The sequence below is a fragment of the Homo sapiens genome, chromosome 9 (genome assembly GCF_000001405.40).
Source record: "Homo sapiens chromosome 9, GRCh38.p14 Primary Assembly".
NCBI lineage: Eukaryota > Metazoa > Chordata > Mammalia > Primates > Hominidae > Homo > Homo sapiens.
Genome location: NC_000009.12, coordinates 83,622,017 through 83,645,064, shown reverse-complemented (window position 1 = coordinate 83,645,064; position 23,048 = coordinate 83,622,017). Strand labels below are relative to the sequence as shown.

The 23,048-nt window shown below is 43.2% G+C and overlaps 1 protein-coding gene across 8 annotated transcripts, besides 5 other annotated features; it reads right to left on the bottom strand.

Annotated features, from left to right (window-relative positions):
• Positions 1-941: 941 nt before the first annotated feature.
• Positions 942-22,059, bottom strand: IDNK (IDNK gluconokinase). 8 transcript variants are annotated; one of them, NR_046422.2, is made up of 6 exons: positions 21,861-21,922; positions 18,021-18,623; positions 16,854-16,884; positions 16,106-16,192; positions 3,474-3,517; positions 942-1,636 (listed from the first exon to the last, which is right to left on the bottom strand). NR_046422.2 is itself a non-coding variant. In XM_006717110.4 (5 exons), the coding sequence occupies exons 1-5, from the start codon at positions 22,042-22,044 to the stop codon at positions 1,285-1,287; spliced, it is 1,017 nt and encodes a 338-aa protein (XP_006717173.2). In that variant the 5' UTR covers positions 22,045-22,059; the 3' UTR covers positions 942-1,284. The 8 variants fall into 8 exon arrangements, 6 of the variants coding, with proteins under 6 accessions (XP_006717173.2, XP_006717174.1, NP_001243844.1 ...); XM_006717110.4 differs by lacking the exon at positions 18,021-18,623 and having other exon boundaries at positions 21,542-22,059; XM_006717111.5 differs by having other exon boundaries at positions 17,607-21,922.
• Positions 14,911-15,497: an enhancer, noted in NCBI's record as "H3K27ac hESC enhancer chr9:86244483-86245069 (GRCh37/hg19 assembly coordinates)". NCBI's record gives its function as "activates a minimal SCP1, AML or CMV promoter by ChIP-STARR-seq in primed H9 embryonic stem cells {active_cell/tissue: H9 hESC(primed)}" and the evidence as "EXISTENCE:reporter gene assay evidence [ECO:0000049][PMID:30033119]".
• Positions 15,498-16,086: an enhancer, noted in NCBI's record as "H3K27ac hESC enhancer chr9:86243894-86244482 (GRCh37/hg19 assembly coordinates)". NCBI's record gives its function as "activates a minimal SCP1, AML or CMV promoter by ChIP-STARR-seq in primed H9 embryonic stem cells {active_cell/tissue: H9 hESC(primed)}" and the evidence as "EXISTENCE:reporter gene assay evidence [ECO:0000049][PMID:30033119]".
• Positions 21,318-21,367: an enhancer, noted in NCBI's record as "active region_28495". NCBI's record gives its function as "activates an Ori minimal core promoter by ATAC-STARR-seq in GM12878 lymphoblastoid cells {active_cell/tissue: GM12878}" and the evidence as "EXISTENCE:reporter gene assay evidence [ECO:0000049][PMID:35858748]".
• Positions 21,388-21,517: an enhancer, noted in NCBI's record as "active region_28494". NCBI's record gives its function as "activates an Ori minimal core promoter by ATAC-STARR-seq in GM12878 lymphoblastoid cells {active_cell/tissue: GM12878}" and the evidence as "EXISTENCE:reporter gene assay evidence [ECO:0000049][PMID:35858748]".
• Positions 21,698-22,227: a silencer, noted in NCBI's record as "silent region_19977". NCBI's record gives its function as "represses an Ori minimal core promoter by ATAC-STARR-seq in GM12878 lymphoblastoid cells {active_cell/tissue: GM12878}" and the evidence as "EXISTENCE:reporter gene assay evidence [ECO:0000049][PMID:35858748]".

Here is a 23,048-nt window from a genome sequence, read left to right as displayed (position 1 = left end):
GAGGTGGGAGGATCACTTGAGGTCAGGAGTTTGAGACCAGCCTAGGCAACATAGCAACACACTATATCTTAAATTTTTTTTTTTAATTAGCTGGGCGTGGTGGTACATGCCTGTAGTCCTAGCTACTTGGGAGGCTGAGGTGGGAGGATCACTTGAGCCCAGGAGTTCAAAGCTGCAGTGGGCTATGATCATGCCACTGCACTCCAGCCTGGGTGACAGAGCAAGACCTCGTCTCTAAAAAAGAAAAAAAAAATCAAATTTTGTCGACCAAACTCTAATATTTTAAAAATTGAAATGGAGTCTCACTGTGTCACCCAGGCTGGAGTGCAGTGGCACAATCTTGGCTCACTGCAACCTCTGCCTCCTGAGTTCAAGCAATTTTCCTACCTCAGCCTCTGGAGTAAATGGGATTACAGGCATCTGCTACCACGCCCGGCTAATTTTTTTTTTTATTTTTAGTAGAGAGGGGGTTTCGCAATGTTGGGCAGGCTGGTCTTGAACTACTGACCTCAAGTGATCCACCCGCCTCAGCCTCCCAAAGTGCTGGGATTACAGGCGTGAGCTACCACGCTGGGCCCAAACTCTGCTTTTTAAGTAGCAGTTAAGTTTCTACGTTTAAATTACACACAGATACATAACACACAACCACTCAGCACAGAGCTGGTGATCAGCAGAGACAGTTTGAGTTGACATAATTTTAGGCAAAAGGCAAGAAGCTTGGTATTGCTACTGGTAAGTATGTTTGCATTATGCCATTTAAGGAACTGAACAAAGTTTGCTTGTTCTGCAATGACTACCTTTTGAGACCTTAGCTTAAGAGCCACTATTCTGAACCACAGCTCCAGGACAGAGAGAGGATTAGGAGGTGTGTGGTGTGCTGGGTGGTGGGTAGATTATGTACATGTTTATACTCCCAACATCAATTTCCAGGGAATGCCAAGGACAGCGAAGTTTCATTTATTTGTGCAAATACAGGCATGAGCAAGAATGTTCTAAACAATGTAACGATTTCCAGCATTGATTACAGAATTTCCTCTGATCATTTGATTTGGTTATAGATGAATTTAAACTTCAATTTAAGCTTGACTTTTAAAACTCCCCCTCTGCTTCCTGATGAACCAGCATAATTCCTAAAATTACACCTAAACAAGTCTGTCTTGACACATTGGGGTTTGCCTTTAGAAACATTTAGAATCTAGTATGGGCAAGGCGGCTGGAACGAGGTTTGGGATGGCACAATGATTTATGCTTAGTTCTGTTTGGACCACTGATACAAAATCATTGTCATTTCATTTTTAGGGTTTCCATAATTGTAGCAATTATCTCTGAAACATTTTTGTCCACACTTATTTGGATAAAGTTTTCTGGAGCTGCTGGGGGCTCCAGAGTCTCAAACTGGGACTGCAATAATTCAGGGGGCATAAAATGTCCCTCTCTTTTGAGTAAGCGTCCAGAGATGACCTCAAACGACCCGCTCAGATGGACCACCAGGAGCTGCATCTCAGCCTGCTTTGCTTCCTTTCCCGACTCCTCACACTTCAGAGCTACACCATCTTTTCCTTGTGTTAATATGTCTCTGTACGTTTTCTTCAGGGCTGAACAGGCTAGAACCACACGCTGTCCCGAGGCTACATCTCTGTTTAGAAAAAGAAAAAAAAAAGAGGGAGGCTAAAGAAGGAGGACATTTAAAGTAACCTCTGTCAATTCTAGTTGCAGGACTCTAGTCCTACTTCCTGCCAGTGGAAGGCATTAGAAAATGGTGTTTAAGCATCAGGCAGTCCTAGCATCGAGTTAAATATCTTCTGCTAGTAAAGTGAACAATCTTGGGCCAAGGCATTTACCTCTCTGAGCGTCAGTTCATCATCTGTTAAGTGGGGCTACCTAGGGTACTTGCCCATAGATCTGTCAAAAGGAAAACACTGTTTGAGATCTCTGATACACAGATATGCTCAGTAAGTGTTAGTTCTGCTTTGATGGATGTCAGACGTTGCTCTGTCGCAGTGTGTGGACACAGGGCTGCCGGCATGCCCCTGTGCCATGCAAACAGCCAAGCTCAGGTCCTCTGCAGGATGTTCAGGGATCTGCATTCTACAACTGGATTCTCCCCATTCCTACTCTACAGTGTCTGGGGGAGTTGCCAGGTGCAATGCAGAGCTGGAGAAAGCGGGAGAGAAGGGAGCATCAGCCTCTCTGTGGGCAAGGTGAGCAGCATATGAGAGGTTCCTAGGGATGCACTAAGGAAAAAACTCCAGCCAGAAACAGAGGCAGACACAGCAGCAATAAGGGGAAACCAGTGCGGCCAGAGACCACACAGGAGAGTGAGCCACAGCTTCCACTTGGCTGCTGAGTGTGGGAGGCAGTCATCCTGGGGTCAGGACAGGATTCTAGAGTTAAGAGGTGGTGCATAAATTCTGGCTTGGGGCTGGCTTGGGGATCCAGTATAAAGTTCTCTTCAGAATGAAAGTTCTGAAGGAAGGGGCCTCCCCTGCTTTTTTTTTTTTTTTGCAGCCAATACATGGCTAGCAAATATAAAAATGAAGCCATACTCCTTTTTATGACTATGAAATGATAGTACTGTAAAAATAGACTCTCATGAGTATATTATATTAGAAACCCAGGTAGGCAAAAATTTTCAAACCTTGAAACCCAGAACCATAAACCCCTAAATCAAAACTCAGCCCATGCAAAGACAGGGCTGCCAGCCATGTCAACGGGTGTGAAAAAAGCAAACTGAATTTATGTTCATTTAAGTATATTATAACTTCGTATGGCCTAGATGGTTTTAGATGGATAAAATATGACTTCATCTTAGAAAGCAAGATCCGTAACCCACTCCCTGCCTTTTCCTTATCCTTCTCCACGTCCCGACCAGGATTTCCACTGGGGTCATGGGTGCTGTTGGGGGGGGACCCTGTTCGCTCAGGGGCATGCTGCAGAGCTGGGCAATGTGGACTCTAATCCTGGTGGCTAATTACCTGTTCACTCACAAATGACCTCAGGCCTTCCTGGTAGTCACAGCTTGAAGTAAAGGGAAGAAAAATTGACTGAGATAGGCAATAACAGAAGTGGCATCAGTGGACACTTTTTGAGCACTTACTATGTATCAGATATTGTTCTGTTGCCCACTCACCAACTCACTTATTCCTTACAAAAATCTGTGAGTAGGAACTATATTAATTCCCATTTTACTGATGAAGAAACAGACTTATGGAAACCAAGTAGCTGATCAAGACTGCTAGCTAGTAACTGTGTGGAGCTGTCTAGAAGGTTTGTCTCCAGAGCCCGACTAAACTCCATGCTGCCTGTGGCTGGTTGAAATCATTGTGGTTACCTGATAGAAGTGCAGCCAGTTTCTAGAATCCTTTACCATCAGTCAGTTGTGATTTCAGGAGTGTATTTTTTTTCCCTGTCTTTTCTGAGGGTTTTCTTTACCTGCTGGCTTTGGCTTATGCCAAGGCCTGGTGGTCTCTTACCTTAGTAAAATGTCATGCAAGTTACAGAGCCATGGAATCCGGTCCTGAAAAAAACAAAAACAAAAACCCAGACACAACGTGACTTCTCCAGGTATTGTTTGTTTGTAGAGAAACAGTTATATCATGTTCACAAATGTTAAGGTCCAGCGAGAGCTCAGTGGTGTGAGGAGTGGGCCATGCACAAGGCTGAGGGGCCAGCTGCTGGGCAGAAACATTTTCTTTCAGCTGGTGTCAGTGGCTCTTTTCATAATAATAAAAATTGCCCTAAAGTACCAGTATGTATCTCCCCATATTAATCTCCCCATTTTACACGTGTCCTCCCTGGTTCTGATACGTTTACAAATCTTTTATTGTACTGCCTGTATTCTTTAGGTATCTCTGATCTCAAATGTAGAGAGATATTCACATAAACCCTTACGTCAGCTGTCCCCTGGTCCTATTCTTCAAACCCTCCAAAGAACAAAATTCCCCTCAGATAAAATTATTTTAAGAAATTTATATTTTTGCCAAAGAGAAGACAGATGAAATTTACGTAGCACGTGCTACAGTGTTTCACAAAGAAATCCTCCTGAGACAAGTAAATTCTCTCCTTCCTGGCGCAAATCCTGATTATTGGCCATAATGCATTGGAAAACAAAACAAAAAAAACTTTCTATTATTGAAAAATTTAAACACACTGAAAAGCAGACAAAATAGTACAAAGCAAACCTCTGTATACCAATACCCAGCTTCAGCAATTTTCTTTTGAGATGGAGTTTCACTCTTGTTGCCCAGGCTGGAGTGCAATGGCACGATCTCGGCTCACCGCAACCTCTGCCTTCTGGGTTCAAGCGATTCTCCTGCCTCAGCCTCCTGAGTAGCTGGGATTACAGGCATGCACCACCATGCCCGACTAATTAATTTTGTATTTTTAGTAGAGATGGGGTTTCTCCATGTTGGTCAGGCTGGTCTCGAACTCCTGACCTCAGGTGATCCGCCTGCCTTGGCCTCCCAAAGTTCTGGGATTACAGGTGTGAGCCACCGCACCCGGCTGGCTTCAGCTATTTTCAACCCACTATTAGTCTTGTTATACGTATGCCCCCAACCACATCCCACATCCCAAATAATCCCATCCTAGGTTATTTTGAAGCTGATTCCAGAAACATGATGTGTTTTTAAAAGTCCTTGCTTTTAGGCATTTGATTACTACCGTTTTATTTAGAATTTTTGATTTTATATACTTGAGATGGGCCTATATTTTAAAAATATGGTCCATATTAAATGTCGGTATCAGGGCTTTACTAGCTTTATAAAATGAGTAGGATAGTTTTCCCTTTTGTCCTGTTCTTTCAAACAGCTTGTATATAATATATTATGTTTGATAAAACTCATCTGAAAAACCTTCTGGGCCTGGGGCCTTTTTTGAGGGGAGATCTTTCATTACAGATTCAATTTCTTTAATGAGCATTGTATTGTATTCAGGTTTTCTATTCCTGATTCACTTTTGGTAGCTACAACATTTATGATGGCAGGAAGAGACCACACTTAGACAGGTGAGCCACCATCCCTGCCCTTCCCATCTCTTACTGCATCCTCTTACTTGGCTAAAGAATCAGGAACTTGGTGGAAGCCAGGCAGCCACACAGCAGGAGCAGATTCAGCTCATTTCAGCCCAGCTTCCAGGCCTCCAGAACCTTGAACACAGTTCGTATCTGTAGGTTACACTTGCTGTACAAGATAGTCACTTTTTATCACCTTTGTCATTACTTCAAAGGAGTAACATAAACAATCCATGCCCTTACTATAAATTATACAGCTCTCTGGACCTTCTGCTGCTTAAGCCAAATGCAGCACCAGAATAGTCACAATTTCACTGGGGAAAAAGCAGGTGTCCCTAAGCAGTATCTGCCACTAGATCACTGCCATCCAACCCCATTTTCCCCAGTCTTGATATTTTTCACTGAAATTATCCAGTTTTGTCTAAGTCTTCAAATTTACTGGCATCAGGTTTTCCACCTCCCTCTTTTCATTATTCATCTCAATTGTGCTGCTTTCTTCTTGATGAGTCTCACCAGAGATCTATTTTTATTTTGTCAAACAACTAGCTTTTGTTCATAGTTTATTTTTTCCCATGACACAGCCCTCAGGAGATCCTGAGAACATGTGCCCAGTTTGTTTTCACTAGCATTCATTTCTGTTATTTCCTGCATTTATTTTTTTCTACTTGAACTGAGCAACTAGCTCGTTACTTTTCATTCTTGTTATTTCCCAAAAATGTATTTAGAGGCTAGTTTCCCTCTAAGTAATGTTGTAACTGCATCCCACAAATTTTAATTGATAGTACTTTTGTTGTATATTACTTAATATTCTGTAATTTCCATTGTGACTTTTAACATAAATTATTTATATGAATGTTAATTTTTTAAAAAATTTGCTTATTTATTTTTAGAGTTCCCAACCATTTTGGTGATGTGTGTGCATTTTTATTATTGATTTACAGTTCATTATAGTAAAAAATGTGAGTGGTATGATACTGATTCTTTGAAATTTGTGGCAATACTCTTTGTGGTCTAGTACATGTCAATTTTTATAAATGTCCCACATGTACTTAAAAAGAATATTATTTTTCATTAATGCCTATGTCAGGCTTGATGCATTTATTCAAATCTTCTATATTCTTACTAATAATTTCTTTTGTCTACTTTATGTATCAATTTTTCAAGTTATTTGAAATTCCATTAGACTGAGAAGTTGACAGTCCACCCTTCTGTCTTTGTGTATGTTAGAAAATGTCTTTATTTTGTGCTTACTTGTGAATAAGATTTTTTTAGTTGGTGAAGAATTCTTGGTTGACCATTATTTTTCAATAGTTTGAATAATTATTTCATTTTGTTTGGGCCTTTATTGTTGAGAAGTCTCTTTTAGTGTATTAGTCAATCCTTTAGAAAATATATCTTATCTCTGGTAGCTTTATGTAGGAAAAAGCCTCTTTGTCTTTGAGCGGCTTTGCAGTTTTATTCTTGCCCTGCTCAGGACTTATTTTGCATATTCAGTGTGAGTACTCATACCCTGGAAAAGTTGTTACTACCTATTTGAATATAGCCTTTCTCCTATTCTATTTACTTGGGTTCCTTGTAGCTATCCAGGAAGTTTGACATTTTATCATACACATCTATTCATTTTTCTTGAATATTTTCTGTTTAGCTCTCTTCTTCATCCTGGGTAATATCCTCCAATCTGCTTTTCTTCTAATTCACTAGTTCTCTCTTCAGCTGTACTAGTTTATTGTTTAATCCATCTATTGATTGTTTTATTTCTAATATTTTTATTTCATTCTTTTTCAAATTTTCCTATTCTTGTCTTCCATTTGATTCTATTATGTCTAGTTCTTGGAGAACAACATCTTACCATTAGTGTTTTTGCTGATTCTCTCTCATAGTGGTCCATTTTCCCATATAGTTTATAGTTTCTGATTGTAGTTTCATCTTCAGCAAAGGATTTTTTTTTTTCCTTTGTGGGAGTCCTAAGTTTTGGAAACACTTTCACGGGCAGTTTCACCAATTCTAGAACAGTTTTATGTCAGTTTATAAGCTTGGTGCCTCTTTGTCATATAGTGTGAATTTGGGTGTAGCCGGAGCTCAGGTTTCTCAAGGATGATTGTTTTTTCCCACCTGTGGCCCAGGGAGGCAGCTAGATTTTTTGCTCCTTTTGAGTTCAGTGGGTGGCAATATTTTTAGTCCTCATTCAAAGACAGCCCTTATATGAGGACTTTATATTCTACAACTTGACATCAATGCTAACAACAACAACAAGACTTTATGTAAGATACTCAGGTCCAGCTCCATGCTTCATACAGGCTTACAATCTTATCTCCCATCTCTATAGGCTCATCAAAACCTCAGCCTCCTGCTCTCCTGGCTTTTATACAGTCAAAAAATGTGGGGGAGTGGGTTATTCTGGTTTAGTTCAGCCTTGCCACACTTTGATTTTGGCACATGAGATGTTCTCGTTTTGCTTTGGACTTTGGCCATTTTTATTTTCCTTTGATCTTTTCCATGAGGAGCCTTTTAAGCTCTCCAGCTCTGGGTAACCACCTTTAGCTCCTGGGTATCTCCCCTGGGCTCAGGCCATTTCTTATTCACAGTAATTTATCTTCAGTAAGTGCAAGGTCATTCTACCAAGGCTATCACTTTGTGCTCAGCAAGTCAAAAACCCTCTAGTTACCTGGATCCACTCTCCATAGAAGGAAGAGGAGAATTAGAAATAATATTTCTTTTTCTTCATATCAAATACAAGATTATTTTTAAAGCACTGCGTGCTAATGTAGGATTGAGGGTCCCGTAAGTTTACTAATCATAGAACTCTTAAGACTTTACTTCCATGCACACACTATTTAACCAGAGATCACTTAGGAGTTCAAATGTAATAGCTACAAAAATCACAAAATGTACAGATCAAATGATGACAGTCACACAGTTTACACAAATTATAATCTAAATGTCAATAGCTACATAATTAACATAAATCATTACTCAAATCACAACAGTTACTGTCATGTATGTACTTAGAGCTGAAATGTACTTAACAAATGAAACATCTGTTTATGTTAGCACTTGTCTGGGAGGTGTATGTAGTGAAACAAGTGTGGTTTTTTGTAAATGCAGTAACAAGATGATGAGGCTTACCAGCTCCATATTTGCAGACCACATGGTCAATTTTTATAAATGTCCCACATATACTTGAAAATAATATGGTTATTTACTTTTCATTAATGCCTATGTCAGACTTAATGCATTTATTCAAATCTTCTGTATCCTTACTCATAATTTCTTTTGTCTGCTTGCTGTATAAATTTTCAAGAAAGGTTTTTGAAATTTCTCCATTAGACTGAGAAGTTGACAGTCTGCCCTTCTGTCTTTGTGTGTGTCAGAAAATGTCTTTCTTTTGTGGTTAATAAAACACAAAATAAAGTTATTAATGTTAGAATATATGAGGAGACTTTATGTGCTCTTGGAGAAGAGTGTATATATTTAATGCTTATTATTGGCAAGGTTTTCTAGGACATCCTACTAAAAAACTAGATGTTCTGGACACTCTGTGAAGAGAAAAAAAGTTGGGCAGTCTACATTTATGCAACTTGAAACTACCATTGCAATTCAGTGTTTTCTGGGCTTATGGTGGGGAATGGGGAAGAAGGATGTCAAGGATTATAGGCTACAGGGACAATTAGCTGGATTGACTGACCTCTGAAGTATTTTTTGATGGAAAATTGCCCCTGGGGAGAAGCTGCCCTTTCAAGCACAAATTTGGATTTCCACTTTCCTTTATCCATTTATAAGTGCTGATTGTGTGTGTAGGGAGACCCAGCCACTGTTGTAGGTGCTTTTGGTCCAATACCCTAGATATGATCATTCTAAGTTTGAGTAATTCCTAAGGTACCATTTGAACTCATCTTTCTAAATTCCTTTCTTTCTCTTATTCCCCTTGTAATTAGCCAAGCTTTTCTACTACATTCACAGGCTAATGGAGATGAAAAAGATAATACTGCTATATGTCAGCTTTTTATAAAAAAACCCTCTTGGATATATTTTCTAAAACAGCTCCTCTAACAGACAGTTGTAATGAAAGAAGGCACTGGGCCTTGAAGCCTCCCACATTAGCAGGAGGTTCTACTTCCCACTCTGGGATTCAGTCCTATAAAAATGTGGCATGTACTGGCCCGCGTAGAATAAGCATTTAGGGGACTGATTTCTAACCCCAGAGTATGTTTTACATGAAAATGGAGGCATCTGCCTTCAAATCATAGAAATTATGTCAACTTCTACAAAGCTATGAGTCAAAGGATTTATCTTTGAGAAAATGAGGACCACAGCGAGGTGCTTTCCTAAGGACTTGGAAAAGAAGGAAATAAGATTGTTCTCTAAGGGTTAAATTTAAAGATCAACAGTTAAAAGGAAGGGGCAGCGATGTGTAAGGTCATGCGAAGGAGTTAGAATGACTCCCAGGCTAGCAAGGCATCACTGTGATCCATCTTAATATTTTCACATACCTAGAGGAAGCATGTCTGTCCCAGGCAGGCTGGGTAGGCAAGAAGGCCAGAGCAGGGCACTGTAGATTGAAATGTGAAGCACTGTCCAGCGGACATGGTGCCTTGGCCATTGGCCTTTGAACATCGTATTCTCATTAGCAAGCCTTTTCCTACTAATGCATGGTCTCGCGCCACCAGATTCTTTGGTCCTAACTCTCCCATGTTCACTAAGAAACCTCTGTATGTTGGTTTCTGAAAATGTGGGTACTAATGTGATTGTTACAGGCCACGTGACAGTTGTATTTCTTTTGGTACATTGATCAACTGGCATTTTGGTTTATGCAGGAACTTGTAAACCTGATTGGTAGGGGTCTCACATGACAGATGAATCCATGTTCAGTGTGTTGACAATATCAAGGGGGCTGGGCCTGCAAGACAGAGAGCCAGCCCTGGAGTCCCAGCTGGGTAGTCAACCAGCCTTTTCCAAGGTGCACCCCTTGTCATTGTAGAAGTCTCTGGATGGGACTTTTAAGGCTTTATTTAAGACTAGTGCCGTGGGCTGCGAATCTCCATTCAGCAAGAAGAATGCTTTAGAAGAGGAAGTGATTGGAAAGTTCTGAGGGCTGAATGCTAATTTACATGATCACATATCTACTTAGAGTTAAGGGGCAATTCGAACTATGAATTAGGACTGACTCAGAGATGAAATACACAGAAAAAAATTAATTTCTTTTTGGCACGAGTAAATGTTCATAATGAGTTTGGGGTGAACCAAAGAGAGAGGACAATTTGTTTAAATACCAGAATTTCTTTCTTATTAGCAGAGGCACAAACTTGCATTTTGCTATTTTGCTCAGATTGTACATTCCGCCATTCCATCTGCACAAATATTTCTATTTGCTTGTGCTGTGGAAATGGAGATCAATCTCTGTATTATTTTATGGCTTAGGAAACAAATATACTTTTCATTAAGCTGAGTGTTGACTATCTTATTCATTATACTTTCTATGTGCCTGAAATATTTCATAAGAATGAAACAAACAAAAATTACAGAAAACATATTTGGGTAATAAGTTTTCTATCTTGTGTACAAAGAAATAGAGCTTTACTTTGAATACATGTTTTTTCATTGTTTTAATAGTGCCTTAATGGATGCTTTAGTCAATAATAAAGCACACTGCTTCATCTAGTCATAATAAAGCTTTTCAGAATCTCAACTATGAAAGCCATAATAAACATAAATATAAAACTATTTAAACAAAAATAGGTGCTTTTAGACATCCACCTTATCGGAATTTATGGCAGACCAGATTAATGACCATGCACCAGTAAGGACTGTGTCCATCAGTCATAAAAACAATAGAGAGGGTTGGAAATAAAAGAGCAGCACTTTGAACATTATTCCTGAAATTTCCAAATAGTGAATCATAATTAAATGATTATGAATTTTCTTTGGAGATTCCCATAAAGCCACAAGGAGAAAGGTTTTTTCCAAGGCAGCGCCAGTGTAGAAATTCAAGTTCTAGTGCCTGACCTGCTTTAAGCCAGGCTACCATGTCAGTGCCGTCATGACCACCCTTTAAGTCAGTGCCTCAGACATCTTTAAGGCCTAACCCCTACCATGGATGTGCTTGTGGGGAACTGCCCCTCTCATTCCTGCTGTCATTCTCACCCTCTGTCTAACCCTTTTCTCTCAATTTAACAAACCTTGATTCACTTCTTGTGAATCATTTGTTTAATGGTTGGATGATCAGGGCCTTTAACACAGTAGGAGAAGTATGATCTTTGAAGTTAGAAAGACTCCCTTTGCTGTGTGGCTTTGCTCAAGTTACTTAATTTCTCTGCACCTCTCTTTGTTCATTTGTAAAGTGGGGATCGTATATAATTCATTGAGCTGCTCTGGGATTTAAATAAGAAAAGGAATAAACTATTTTTTGGTTGATTTAACAGTTGAAATAAACAGTACTTATTTCCAACTCTGAATTTTTGAAAGAGTTTAAATTCATGAATTTGGTAGGCACTGGGCCTTAATTCCACAAACATTAAATGTGGTGCAAAGCACCATACTGAGTGAGCACTGGGGATAAATATGAATGGTGTGGTTCCTGTCCTCAAAGAGAAGAGGCAAATGAGTAATCTATTAAGTCACCTGCAGGGCAGTGATGAGGGCTGTGGGAGATATACTAAGAAGGGCTATGATAACACAGCAGGAGGACAGGCCAATCTTCTTTTATTTTTTTATTTTTGAGATGTAGTCTTGCTCTGTCACCCAGGCTGGAGTGCAGTGGTGTGATCTTGGCTCACTGCAAGCTCCACCTCCTGGGTTCACGCCATTCTCCCGCCTCAGCCTCCCGAGTAGCTGGGACTACAGGCGCCTGCCACCACGCCCGGCTAATTTTGTGTATTTTTAGTAGAGACGGGATTTCACCGTGTTAGCCAGGATGGTCTCGATCTCCTGACCTTGTGATCTGCCCGCCTCGGCCTCCCAAAGTGCTGGGATTACAGGCGTGAGCCACTGCGCCTGGAGGACAGGCCAATCTTGATCAGGCCTTGGAAAGAGTAAATCTTAAAAGATAAAGATAATTTCAAGACCTTGACTGGCCTGCTAAGGAGTGTGGACCTTATTGTAAAGGTGCTAGGAAGGACCTAGACACATGAGCTCCAAATTTTATGTTCATAATGAAGAAAGGGGGGAATTGAGATCTCTCTACAGTGAAGAAATTGGAAGAAGGAGATATTAGAGCAAATTCACTGAGCTCTATGCCTTCCAGACAGTTACTGTGGACAATATAATAAGTTATGAAAATCAAACACACAGAAGTTTTAGAGGAAAGAAATGAGACAATCCAAATTAGCATCTCTGCCTATGGCTCTGATGTTCAAGGTTTTCACACTCCAGATCAAGCTTGTACAACACACAGCCCGCAAACCCTACTGCGGCTTTGAATGTGGCCCAACATAAATTTGTAAACTTCCTTAAAACATGAGATTTTTTTTGTGATTTTTTTTTTTTTTTTTTTTTTTTTTGCTCATCAGCTATCGTTAATGTTAGTGTATTTTATGTGTGGCCCAAGACAATTCTTCTTCCAGTGTGGCCCAGGGAAGCCAAACGACTGGACACCCCTGCTCTAGATAGTCCCTACACGCAAAGATGGGGAAGGCAGTGCACTCCCGACTCCCAGCCCAGTGCTCGGAGGTGAGCACAATGAATGCTCTACGAAGAGTGAAATCAGAATGTCATGAGGCTAGAGAAAGCTTTCTTGGCCTATGGAAACATCTTGAGAAATTAAATGTCTTTTGGAAGGGGATGATGGGTAAAGAGAGAACAGATAATGGTAGAATATGGGTGGAGAGAGACGGGAAGGAAGATGGGGAGTGGGAATGGCGGGGAGATGGGTGTGTTTTACCTGATGCAAAAGTTAAGTATATAGAATGTTATATACTGACCCCCTCCATGAAAAAGAAGAATTCCAAAATTCAATTCATAGATATTTTTGGAAGATGAGACCAAGGGTGATATATTTTGTGAAAAAATTTTTTAGTACTTTCCAAATTTTCTATACAGGGCAAATATTACAATTATAATCAGGAGATTTTTTTCAGGATTTTTTTTTTCCCAAAAAAAGCCCTCTTTTTACAATAGACTTTGAAGTTGAAGACTATTCAGGTGCCCCTGCAGGCTCAGATAGGACACTGTGGGCTGGGCACCTAGGGGAGACTCACTGACTGGTGGCTTTGAAATTCTTTATTATTAATTTCATCATAACGCTAATAATTTATCACAGCTTGGGTAGAATGTTTCTAGACTGGCACTGTCCAACACAGCTTTCTGCAATGATGTTCTATAGCTGTGCTGTCCAGTAAGGTAGCCAGTAGCCACTCATGGCTACTGAGCTTTTGACATGTGGCTGGTATAACCCAGGGACTAGATTTTACATTTTATCTATTTTAATTAATTTGTATATATTTTTTTCAGACAGGGTCTCACTCTGTCCCCCAGGCTAGAGTGCAGTAGTGCAGTCACAGCTCACTGTACCCTCGAACTCCTGGGCTTAGGCCATCCTCCCACCTTAGCCTCCCGAGTAGCTGGGACTACAGGCATGCACCACCAGCCTTTTTTTTTTTTTTTTTTTCAGTTTTTGTAGAGGCAGGGACTTGCTATGTTGCCCAGGCAGGTCTCAAGCTCCTGGTCTTCAGCCTCTCCCTCCTGGGGCGCTGGGATTATAGGCTTGAGCCACTGAGCCTGGCCTAATTTACATTTAAATAGCCTTAGGGAGCCCTTAACATGTTCTACACAGACTGCAGCTCTGAGCCCTCCGAACACAAAACTCTCCCCACGTCCTCCCTAGACTCTTCCTCAAGGGAGAACCAGGGCCTCTGACTTGGACACGGACACGCTTTAATCCATTCACAGGGGGCTTTCCTCAGCTCTGTAGCATGGGGGCAGTGCGGGGAGGGTGGGGACCGGTTACCGGGGCAACCAGGAGCTGTATTGGTGCCAGCCCAGCTGTGACCCATATCTTCAGTCTTAGACTCGTTGGATTCTTATCAAGAATGAAAATCATCTGTCGTTCTACCTCTTGAGAATGTAAACCATCTGTCGTTCTACCTCCTTATCTCTCTGTTTTGGTTATCTCTAAGGTCTGCCTAGCTTGTAGTTTTTTTTTCTGAAAAAATTTAGTAAGTAACTTGTGTCTCTTCCAGTAATCTTTTCTCCTGTACATAAATTTCTCTTCTGAATTCTACCCCCCAATCCATAGAGTCCACTTAACAAGCATCACTTGTGAAGAAGAGGAAGACTACAGAAATTCCATTTTAAAATCTATCAATTTTGGTTGCTTTATTTTGTTATTTAACTTACCTTTTATTTGCAGTCACCAAAGAGAAACCTAAAATAACACTGGCACAGTCACATTTTATACACTCCCTTAGAAATGGTTATTGGCATGTATATATGATTTATGTTGTATGCGTATGGTTAGCAATAATTTTAAAACGTGATATTTATTGAATGCTACAGGCACTTTTCTGTGCATATTTTTTGTATTATCTCATTTAATACTTCCAAGAATCCAATCAAATAGATCCTGTTACCATTCCTACCCCACAGGAGAAAAATGGGGCACAGAGAGACTAAGCCCTTTGTCAAGCTCATACAAGCCTGGTGGTGGAACCAGGTTGCCTATGTTTATTATCTCTAGTTTAGTATCAACATTATTACTACTCTTTTTTATTACTACTCTATTATACTATTATTACTCTCATTATTATTACTCTCTTTTATAGTTCTATTGCCCTATCTTCTAAAATCAAATGTTGCAAACCTGTGATGATTCAAGGCCTGAAGCACTGCAAACTCAAGCTGTACCCCCAATAACAAAGAGAAGTGCACTCTTGGGGTGCTCTAGAATAGACCTAATAATGGTTTAATGGCTCAAGGCACAAAAAAGAAAAAGACAGTGAGCTAGGGAAAGGACACCTGGGGGTGAGCCCAGCCCCACTGAAAGTGAGAACAACAGTGTTGGTCTGCGGCCAGTTCCATTCGTTCTTGCCCTTTGGACACACTTAGTGCGTGGCCCCAGCCTTTGACCTGCCCTCATCTCTCCTGAACTATGGCCAGTTATGCCAGCGAGTTTGTAACTCTGGTGTGAGACACTCTAGGGGATGGCCTCACGGCCTGCACACAGGAGAGTGCTATTCATCCATTCATTCACTCGAAAACATGCCACAACTATTTTCTGATGTTTACTGTGTGTCAGGCCTGGGGGGTACAATGGTTAACAGAAACAGCCACAGTCCCTGCCCTTTTAGGGGTAAAGTCTAGTTGCAGAGACAAACATTAATCAAATTCTCAGACCATCAGTTGTTGAGCTGCCACAGGGACAAGTGCAACAATGAAATGGCACCATGAGAGTCCATCATGGAGGTTTCACTTCCCTGAGGAAGCAGCATGGGTGCTGAGATCAAAGGATGAGAAGGGCTAGCTCAGGGAAGAAGGGAACAGGGATACAAAGGCCCCATGGGAGAAGCATTGCAGTGGGAGGGGCTGGAAGAGGCCAGGGAGCTCCTGTGGAGATATGGAGGCGCATGGCTCCTAAAGAGGCTGGAGCCATGTGGAGGCCATGCCATGCATGCTTAGCAGTGTAAGTATTTGGTCTTGATCCTGAGGTTGGTGGGAAGCCTCTAAAGGGTCACAGGCAGAAGAAACATGGCCAGCTTTGAGTTCTCAAAGATCACTCTGGCTTTAGGGTGAATGCTAGAGTACGGTGATAGTGGTAGGCTGACAGCACCTGGGAAGAGAAGATGAGGACTTCCCCATGTATGAGGCACAGGGAGCCTCTGACCTCTCAGGAATTACATTCTTCAGGTTAAAATCCCACAACAAGGTGTTTTGGCAGAGCCTGTTCAGGCTGGGGCAGAGGGTGGCATTGTTCCTGGGGCCATGTTCAGACAGTTGTTCAGGACTGGAGCTAACATATGTAGAGGATCTACTGGGCACCTGGCTCTTTGTAGCCCCTGTACAGTGACCTTAGGACTCACGAACTCTACTACAGCAAGTGCTGTAGCGAGCTCATCCTGTCACCCAGGTGGAATATGTGTGATGGACACAGACAGCAATTGTTACCTGGTCATTGAGCGGTATGCCTTTTCCCATCTTCCTTCGATTTTCCTCCGGGTGATAATCATCAGCATCATAGAATTTCCATCCCAGCTTTAAGAACAAAGTGAAAGGGTGTATGTGGCAGGCAGATGGGCCAATGTGATAGTCATTGTGGGATTACTAACAGGCAGGTGTAGAAACAATACCACCCGCCTGGTTCCCATCAACCCCAAGGACAACCCCCAGGAGGGAAGCACCTTGTCATGCCATTTCACAACCCCCATGACTGGGCTACCACAGCCTCCTTTAATTCATTACTTTTTTTTTTTTTTTGAAATGTAGTCTCACTCTGTCACCAGGCTGGAGTACAGTGGCGCAATCTTGTCTCACTGCAACCTCCACCTCCCGGGTTCAAGTGATTCCCCTGCCTCAGCCTCCTGAGTAGCTGGGACTACAGTAGGCGCGTGCAACCATGCCCGGCTAATTTTTGTATTTTTAGTAGAGATGGGGTTTCACTATATTGGCCAGGATGGTCTTGAACTCTTAACCTCATGATCTGCCCACCTCCCAAAGTGTGGGGATTACAGGCATGAGCCACCGCACCCTGCCTATTCATCACTATTTGTAATCACCAAGGAGAAAAACAAAATTGCTCCAGTGGGGTTCAAAGCCATGTGGAAGTGTCTGTACAAAGCAGAAAAAAGGCAGAGATGCAAGGAGACCAGAACACAATGGGACAAGCACTCGGAAGGCATTAGGACAGGTTACTAACCTCAGATGCCAGCAGGGCGCCCACGGTGGATCTGTGGAGAGGACACAGATGTTCCCGTTACTGCCCTGCCCAATGTGTGGAGCTTCCTTCTGTGCAAGGATGTCTGGGAAAGGGATGGCTGCCTTAGCAGGAATTTAAACACCAATCACTGTGTAATCCTAAAGCAGTGATGCCCGTGACCGTGGAGTCTGGAGACTGGCCTTAGCTGATCCCCACGAATGTCAATGAAGAAATAATTAGTTAACACTATTTCTTTCTCTAAAGGCAATATATAAGATCTCATTAAACCCAAGTTTTTTCTTCAGTAATCAGTTTTTGGTCCCTGTTGTGTAATTTTTTTTTTTTTTTTTTTTTTTTTGTGGTGGGGATGTTGAATTCATAGTGATAAAATTCTGCTGAAAATATTGAATGGAGGGGTCTGATGGAGGATTTAATCTCCAGCAGCACCCATGTAAAGTTCAGGACACTCATAAAAGCATAAAAACATTTTTGGAGTTTAAAAGAGACACACTCGTAAAATAAAGGACATGGGTCAATATCTCATGAATCACCGGCACTTGTTAAGACTGGGGGTTAAATGTTCTCTGTGTAGAGCATTTGGTAACTATCTGTTCATACTCTACCAGGCAGCATGTGCTAGTGAAAGGGGCTCGGGACTCAGTACTGGAGATGGGGCCACAGTTGCCTACTGCCACTAAATGACTGAGTGCTCCCAGCCAAGTCACCTGTTCCTTTAAACCTCAGTTTTCTCACCTGCAAAACAAGGGATCTGAGCCACATGATGTATCCATCCACCTACATTTCATTTCTTTATTGAGCACCTACCAGTTCCCAGGATGTAACGGTAAGCTCACTGACACATGGCCTCAGCCTTCCTAAACAGTCTAGTACATAGGGTAGGTAGGGGTGGAGGCCAGCAGACAATGACCCATAAAGTGCTTTCTCGCTTTCAATGTTTAAAGTGTTGCCCAAATGCCAATTATTTAAGCACTATCTTCCTAATTTTTACCTATCCCCATACTATTTTATCATGCCCTCTTAAATTTTACATATCACCTCAACATTTTGATGTTTTTATTTAATTGCTTCACTTTTAAAAATTAAATAAGTGTGTTAAAGAAGGAAACTTTCTTTCATTCCCTTGCACAAGAAGCTATCATCACTTGCCTTGAATAGAAGGTACCTGAAAAGCTGTATATAATGAAAACAGAACAATGTGATTAAATTCTAGCTGGATACTGTTGCCTAACAAAGGTCCTCTTTCTTTCACTAAAAAGCTATCAGAGAGGTGTTAGACACAGTTGTACCAAACTGAGATCTGCTCCTGGATGTAACCAAAGGTTGCGAGAGCAGTGAAACCTTTCCCATTAGTTCATTCTATTGAAGGCTGCGCAGGGAGACATGCAGCCTACGGATGAGTAGACCATCCCGGCCAAACTCCATGGCTGGTGAAGCCAGAAGTGTGCATAGCAGAAATCACACTTAAGACCAAGTTAGGTTGAGCCCTTGGCTCACGCCTATAATCCCAGCACTTTGGGAGGCTGAGGCAGGCGGATCACTTGAGGCCAGGAGTTCGGGACTAGCTCGGCCAACATGGCAAAACCCCGTCTCAACTAAAAATACAAAACTTAGCTGGGTGTGGTGGTGCACGCCTGTAACCCCAGTTACTCCGGAGGCTGAGGCATGACAATCGCTTGAACTCAGGAGGCAGAGGTTGCAGTGAGCCGAGATCACGCCACTGTACTCCAGCCTGGGCGACAGAGTGAGAGTCTGTCTCAAAACAAAAAACAAAAAACAAAAAAACAAGTTAGATTAGCCATGAATGAACATGCCAGCCAGCACTCATAATTTGAAAGCAGAGGTAAAGAGATGTGGGTGTAGACTGTCAGGAAGAAGATGGGAAAAGAAAAACCACTGTCTGTCTAAACCAGAGAACACCTGGACTCTTGAATATGCACCAAAGACCCTGGCAGAAATAAGGCACAGTGCTGGGCCCAAAAATACTGGTCAGACCCAGGATTACAAATCAAGATTTGGGGTCCATATGTCTCCCAGTGGGTTGGTCTAAATCAGGGGCAAGGGACTTAAAAAGACAACACAGACCAATGGGGGAGAAGGAAGGGATGCAGAATCAATGAGAAAGATATTCAAAAGGTCTGAGCTTGTTTCATCAGCAAAGAGAAGGAAACCTGGAAGGAGATGTTAAGGGTGGCTTCATTAAGATTGTGAAAATATAAAGAAAATTAACTCTGCCACCCACTCAGATGCCTGCCGTCTTCCATCCATCCATCCATTCATTAAGTCAACAAGTATTTAGTATCTACGAAATGCCAGGAACTGTTCTAGACACATGTATCAGTAAATAAAAAGGAAAATAATCCTTTACATTCAGGTGGGGGAAGACAGTAACAAACTTAGTCCTTGAGGTCACTGTGTTTTAACAGTGTTCTAAATGGAGTCTTTCTGTTTTGAGACTATTGTTCTCTTCAGCCATTAGGCTGTGATAAATATTTTTCTAAATGCTATGGAGTATAATTAAAAAATCCTGTAGGGCTCCAATAGGGGTTCACAAAGTCACTAAAGAACTTGATGTTGCTACATCCAATGATGAATATAATCAAGTCCCAGTCTTTTTATTACTCAGCTAGTCAATAACATTGGACACATCTCCCTGACCCTGCGCCACTGAAAGTCCCCAGGGTTCAGTTCTTGGCCAGCTTCTTTATCTACATGCACTCCTTTGGTGATCTCAACACCTTAGATCTTTAAGTACACCCACACAACAGTGATTCCCACAGTTAGATCTAAAGTCCCTCTCCTCTGAACTTCAGACTTGGACATCCAACCACCATCCACTGGATGACTAATTGGCTCGTCCAAGTCACCATATCCCACACTGAGCTTCTGAGGTTGTCTTCCAAATCTGCTCTATCTACTGCTTCCCCAAATCAGTTTGTGGCGACTCCCTCCTTCCAATTACTCAGGCCTAAAATCTTGAATCATCCTTGACTTCTCTCTTGTCTTCTTACACCCAACATCCAGTCCACAAACACATCTTTCTGACTCTACCTTCAAAATATTGCCAGCATATGACCACATTCTCTTTACCTGCATTGTTTCTGACTTCATCTCCCATCATGCTTCCCCTCACTCAGCCACAATGGGTTCCTTCCTGCTCCTTAAAGAAGCCAAGCCTTAGCTGGGCGCGGTGGCTCACGCCTGTAATCCCTGCACTTTGGGAGGCTGAGACGCATGGATCACCTGAGGTCAGGAGTTTGAGACCAGCCTCGCCAACATGATGAAACCCCGTCTCTACTAAAAATACAAAAAATTAGCTGTGCATGGTGGTGGGCGCCTATAATCCCAGCTACTTAGGAGCCTGAGGCAGGAGAATTGCTTGAACCCGGGAGGAGGAGGTTGCATTGAGCCAAGATTGCACCACTGCACTCCAGCCTGGGCAACAGGAGTGAAGCTCCGCCTCAAACAAAACAAAACAAAAAAAAAACAAAAGAAGCTAAGCCTCAGAACCATTGCACCTGCCATTCCCTCTGCCTGTCCTGCCCTTTCCTCAGCTATCCACATGGCAGGTTCCTCAAGTCTTGCAGGTCTTTGCTGAAACGCCACTCCCCCAGAGGAGACATCCCTGACCACTCTGCCTGGCACTCTTTGTTCCCCTTACTCCAGAGCATCTATCACCAACTCACACACTACATATATTCATTTACTCTGTCTCCCATACCAGAATGTAAATCCTTTGAGGGCAGGGATTTTATCTGTCCTGTTCGCTATATGACAATGACATAGAGTAAGGATTGAGCTCAATAATTACTGAGTACATGAATATCACAAGCTATACATCATAGGGATTAGGCCTCCCTCATCTGATTCAAGACTCAGAGGGGGTACATGAACTGCCCAGGCTCACACAGCCAGACAGCAACAGAACCAAGACCTAGGGCTCTTCACTCCTGTTACATCACACCATGGCAATGATTTTACATTCTCCAACTGATTCAAATCATATGGCAGCTAGGGATTTGGGGGCTCCATGTTTTATTTCAATTGCAGTTCAAGATTTCTTTTTATCTTTGTGGCTGAGAACCCTACAATAATTTTGGAAAGCAAAACCCATCTACCTGGAGTAAATCTTTAATATACACCTGACTACACAGGCCACAACATGGGCCGTTCCTGATTCAGAAAATTCTAGAAGGGTCCTATAGGCCCTTGAAGGTTATGATGTTTTAGCTGATCAAGTTCTGTCCTTTGCTGCCTGTGGTCGAATGGTACAGCAGCTGTCTTTTCTGATAAAGGGCACAGTTAGACTTTGGTTTAAACAGGAAGCCAAATGTTAACTCCTCAGTCTCCAGGTTAGCACACTGGGCTACCTCTGTGGTTTCCACAATTCTCTTCTTTCTTTCCAAACCCTCAGGAGCCACCCTCCATATTAACGCTGTCTCCTTCCAGGTTAAGCTGATGAAAGGAAGGGGAAAACGATTCACTTTCCAAAATTGAATCGGAGAAGTCCAGGGCCTCATAGGAGGAGGCCGCTGTGTGTCCAGATGGCCAAAGGTCTGTGAGAGCCTGGGCCGTGGTTTGCGTCCTCTCGCTAGAGGCCGTGCGCCCTCCCGCCTGGCCCCGACAAGGCGCCCCGAAACCTAGCCCCGCGCCGCTCGCTAGGCCTCCACCTGCGCGGCCCCGCAGCCGCCTGTTCAGGAGCGGCTTCCTCCCTGAGCCTGCGGTCGCCGCAGCCTCCCCGTCTTAGAGCGGGAACCCGGAGCTCGGATGCGGTCCCAGGATGGGCGCCCCGCGAGCAGGCTGGAGGGCGGGGAGAGGGCGCGGCAGCCGCGGGCCTCGGTTTCTTCATCTGCAAAGGGAAGGGTGGGGGGTCCCCAAGACCCCAGTCCACCGGCAGGGACGGCGACGCGTCCGGCCTCCGCCGCGCCCGCAACACTTGTCCCGGGCGCCCCCCGCCCTCTCCCGGACCTACTTCCCCGAGCCGCTCACGCCCATCACCAGCAGCGCGCCCGGCGCCGCCATAACCCAAGCTCGGCTCCTTCCCGTCGCCTTCCGGGCCCCGCCGGCCCCGGCCTACCCGGCGCTCGAGGGGCGGAGCCGCTCTCGCCCCGGCCGGGGCAGTGAGGGCCGTGCCCCTCTGCGCCCTCCCCGTTTTCCCGCGCCCCTTTTCCATGCTTTCCTCCTCCCTTTCCCAACCTCCCGGCCTCTCTCTCCTGCCCCTTCTTTTCCTCTCCCCTCCCCTCCCTCTTTCCTCTTCCCGGAAGTGAAGCGCGCGCCCGGCCTGGCACTCGCGTCTCCCTGGGCTGGAGGGAGCCGCCCAAAGCCCCGCCACCTGTCGTTCTACTGCCCCGGCCCCTCTTGGTTCCAGAGGATCCTCACCCTGGCAGGCCGGATCCTCATCCACCCATGGAAAGCATTCATTCATTCATTTATAAAAATGTTCTTGTAAAAAGAATAAACAGAAAATAAGACTCATAATTTCCCACACCAGGCAGCAATAAGCAGCACTTCCTAAAACGACTCCCCTTTCCCCGCGCCCCGTCGTAGATAGATGGGTATGAGTATTTTGTAAAACTGGGATCAGGCCGTACACAGCGTTTTGTAATCTGGCCTTTTGTCACAATAATAAATGGCGGCCATCTTTTGGTGTCAAACTTAGGGTTGAGTGTTGACCGTAGCAGCATATGTCTTGGCTGTATGGCTCTGCTGTTAAATCCAGCACTGGTTGGGGCTTTAAGAGGAAGGAGCACCACTTTAAAGTGTCCATTTGCTTTAAAACAATGTTAATTATGTGTCGTTTGAACTATTTGATTAAAAGCACTTCTTTTTTTTTTTGAGACGGAGTCTCGCTCTGTCGCCCAGGTGGGACTGCGGACTGCAGTGGCGCAATCTCGGCTCACTGCAAGCTCCGCTTCCCGGGTTCACGCCATTCTCCTGCCTCAGCCTCCCGAGTAGCTGGGACTACAGGCGCCCGCCACCGCGCCCGGCTAATTTTTTTTGTATTTTTAGTAGAGACGGGGTTTCACCTTGTTAGCCAGGATGGTCTCGATCTCCTGACCTCATGATCCACCCGCCTCGGCCTCCCAAAGTGATTAAAAGCACTTCTAACCGCATTTGGCATCACCTCCTTTGGTCTTTTGTTAACCAAGGTAGGTATTACTCTGTGTCCTAGAAAAC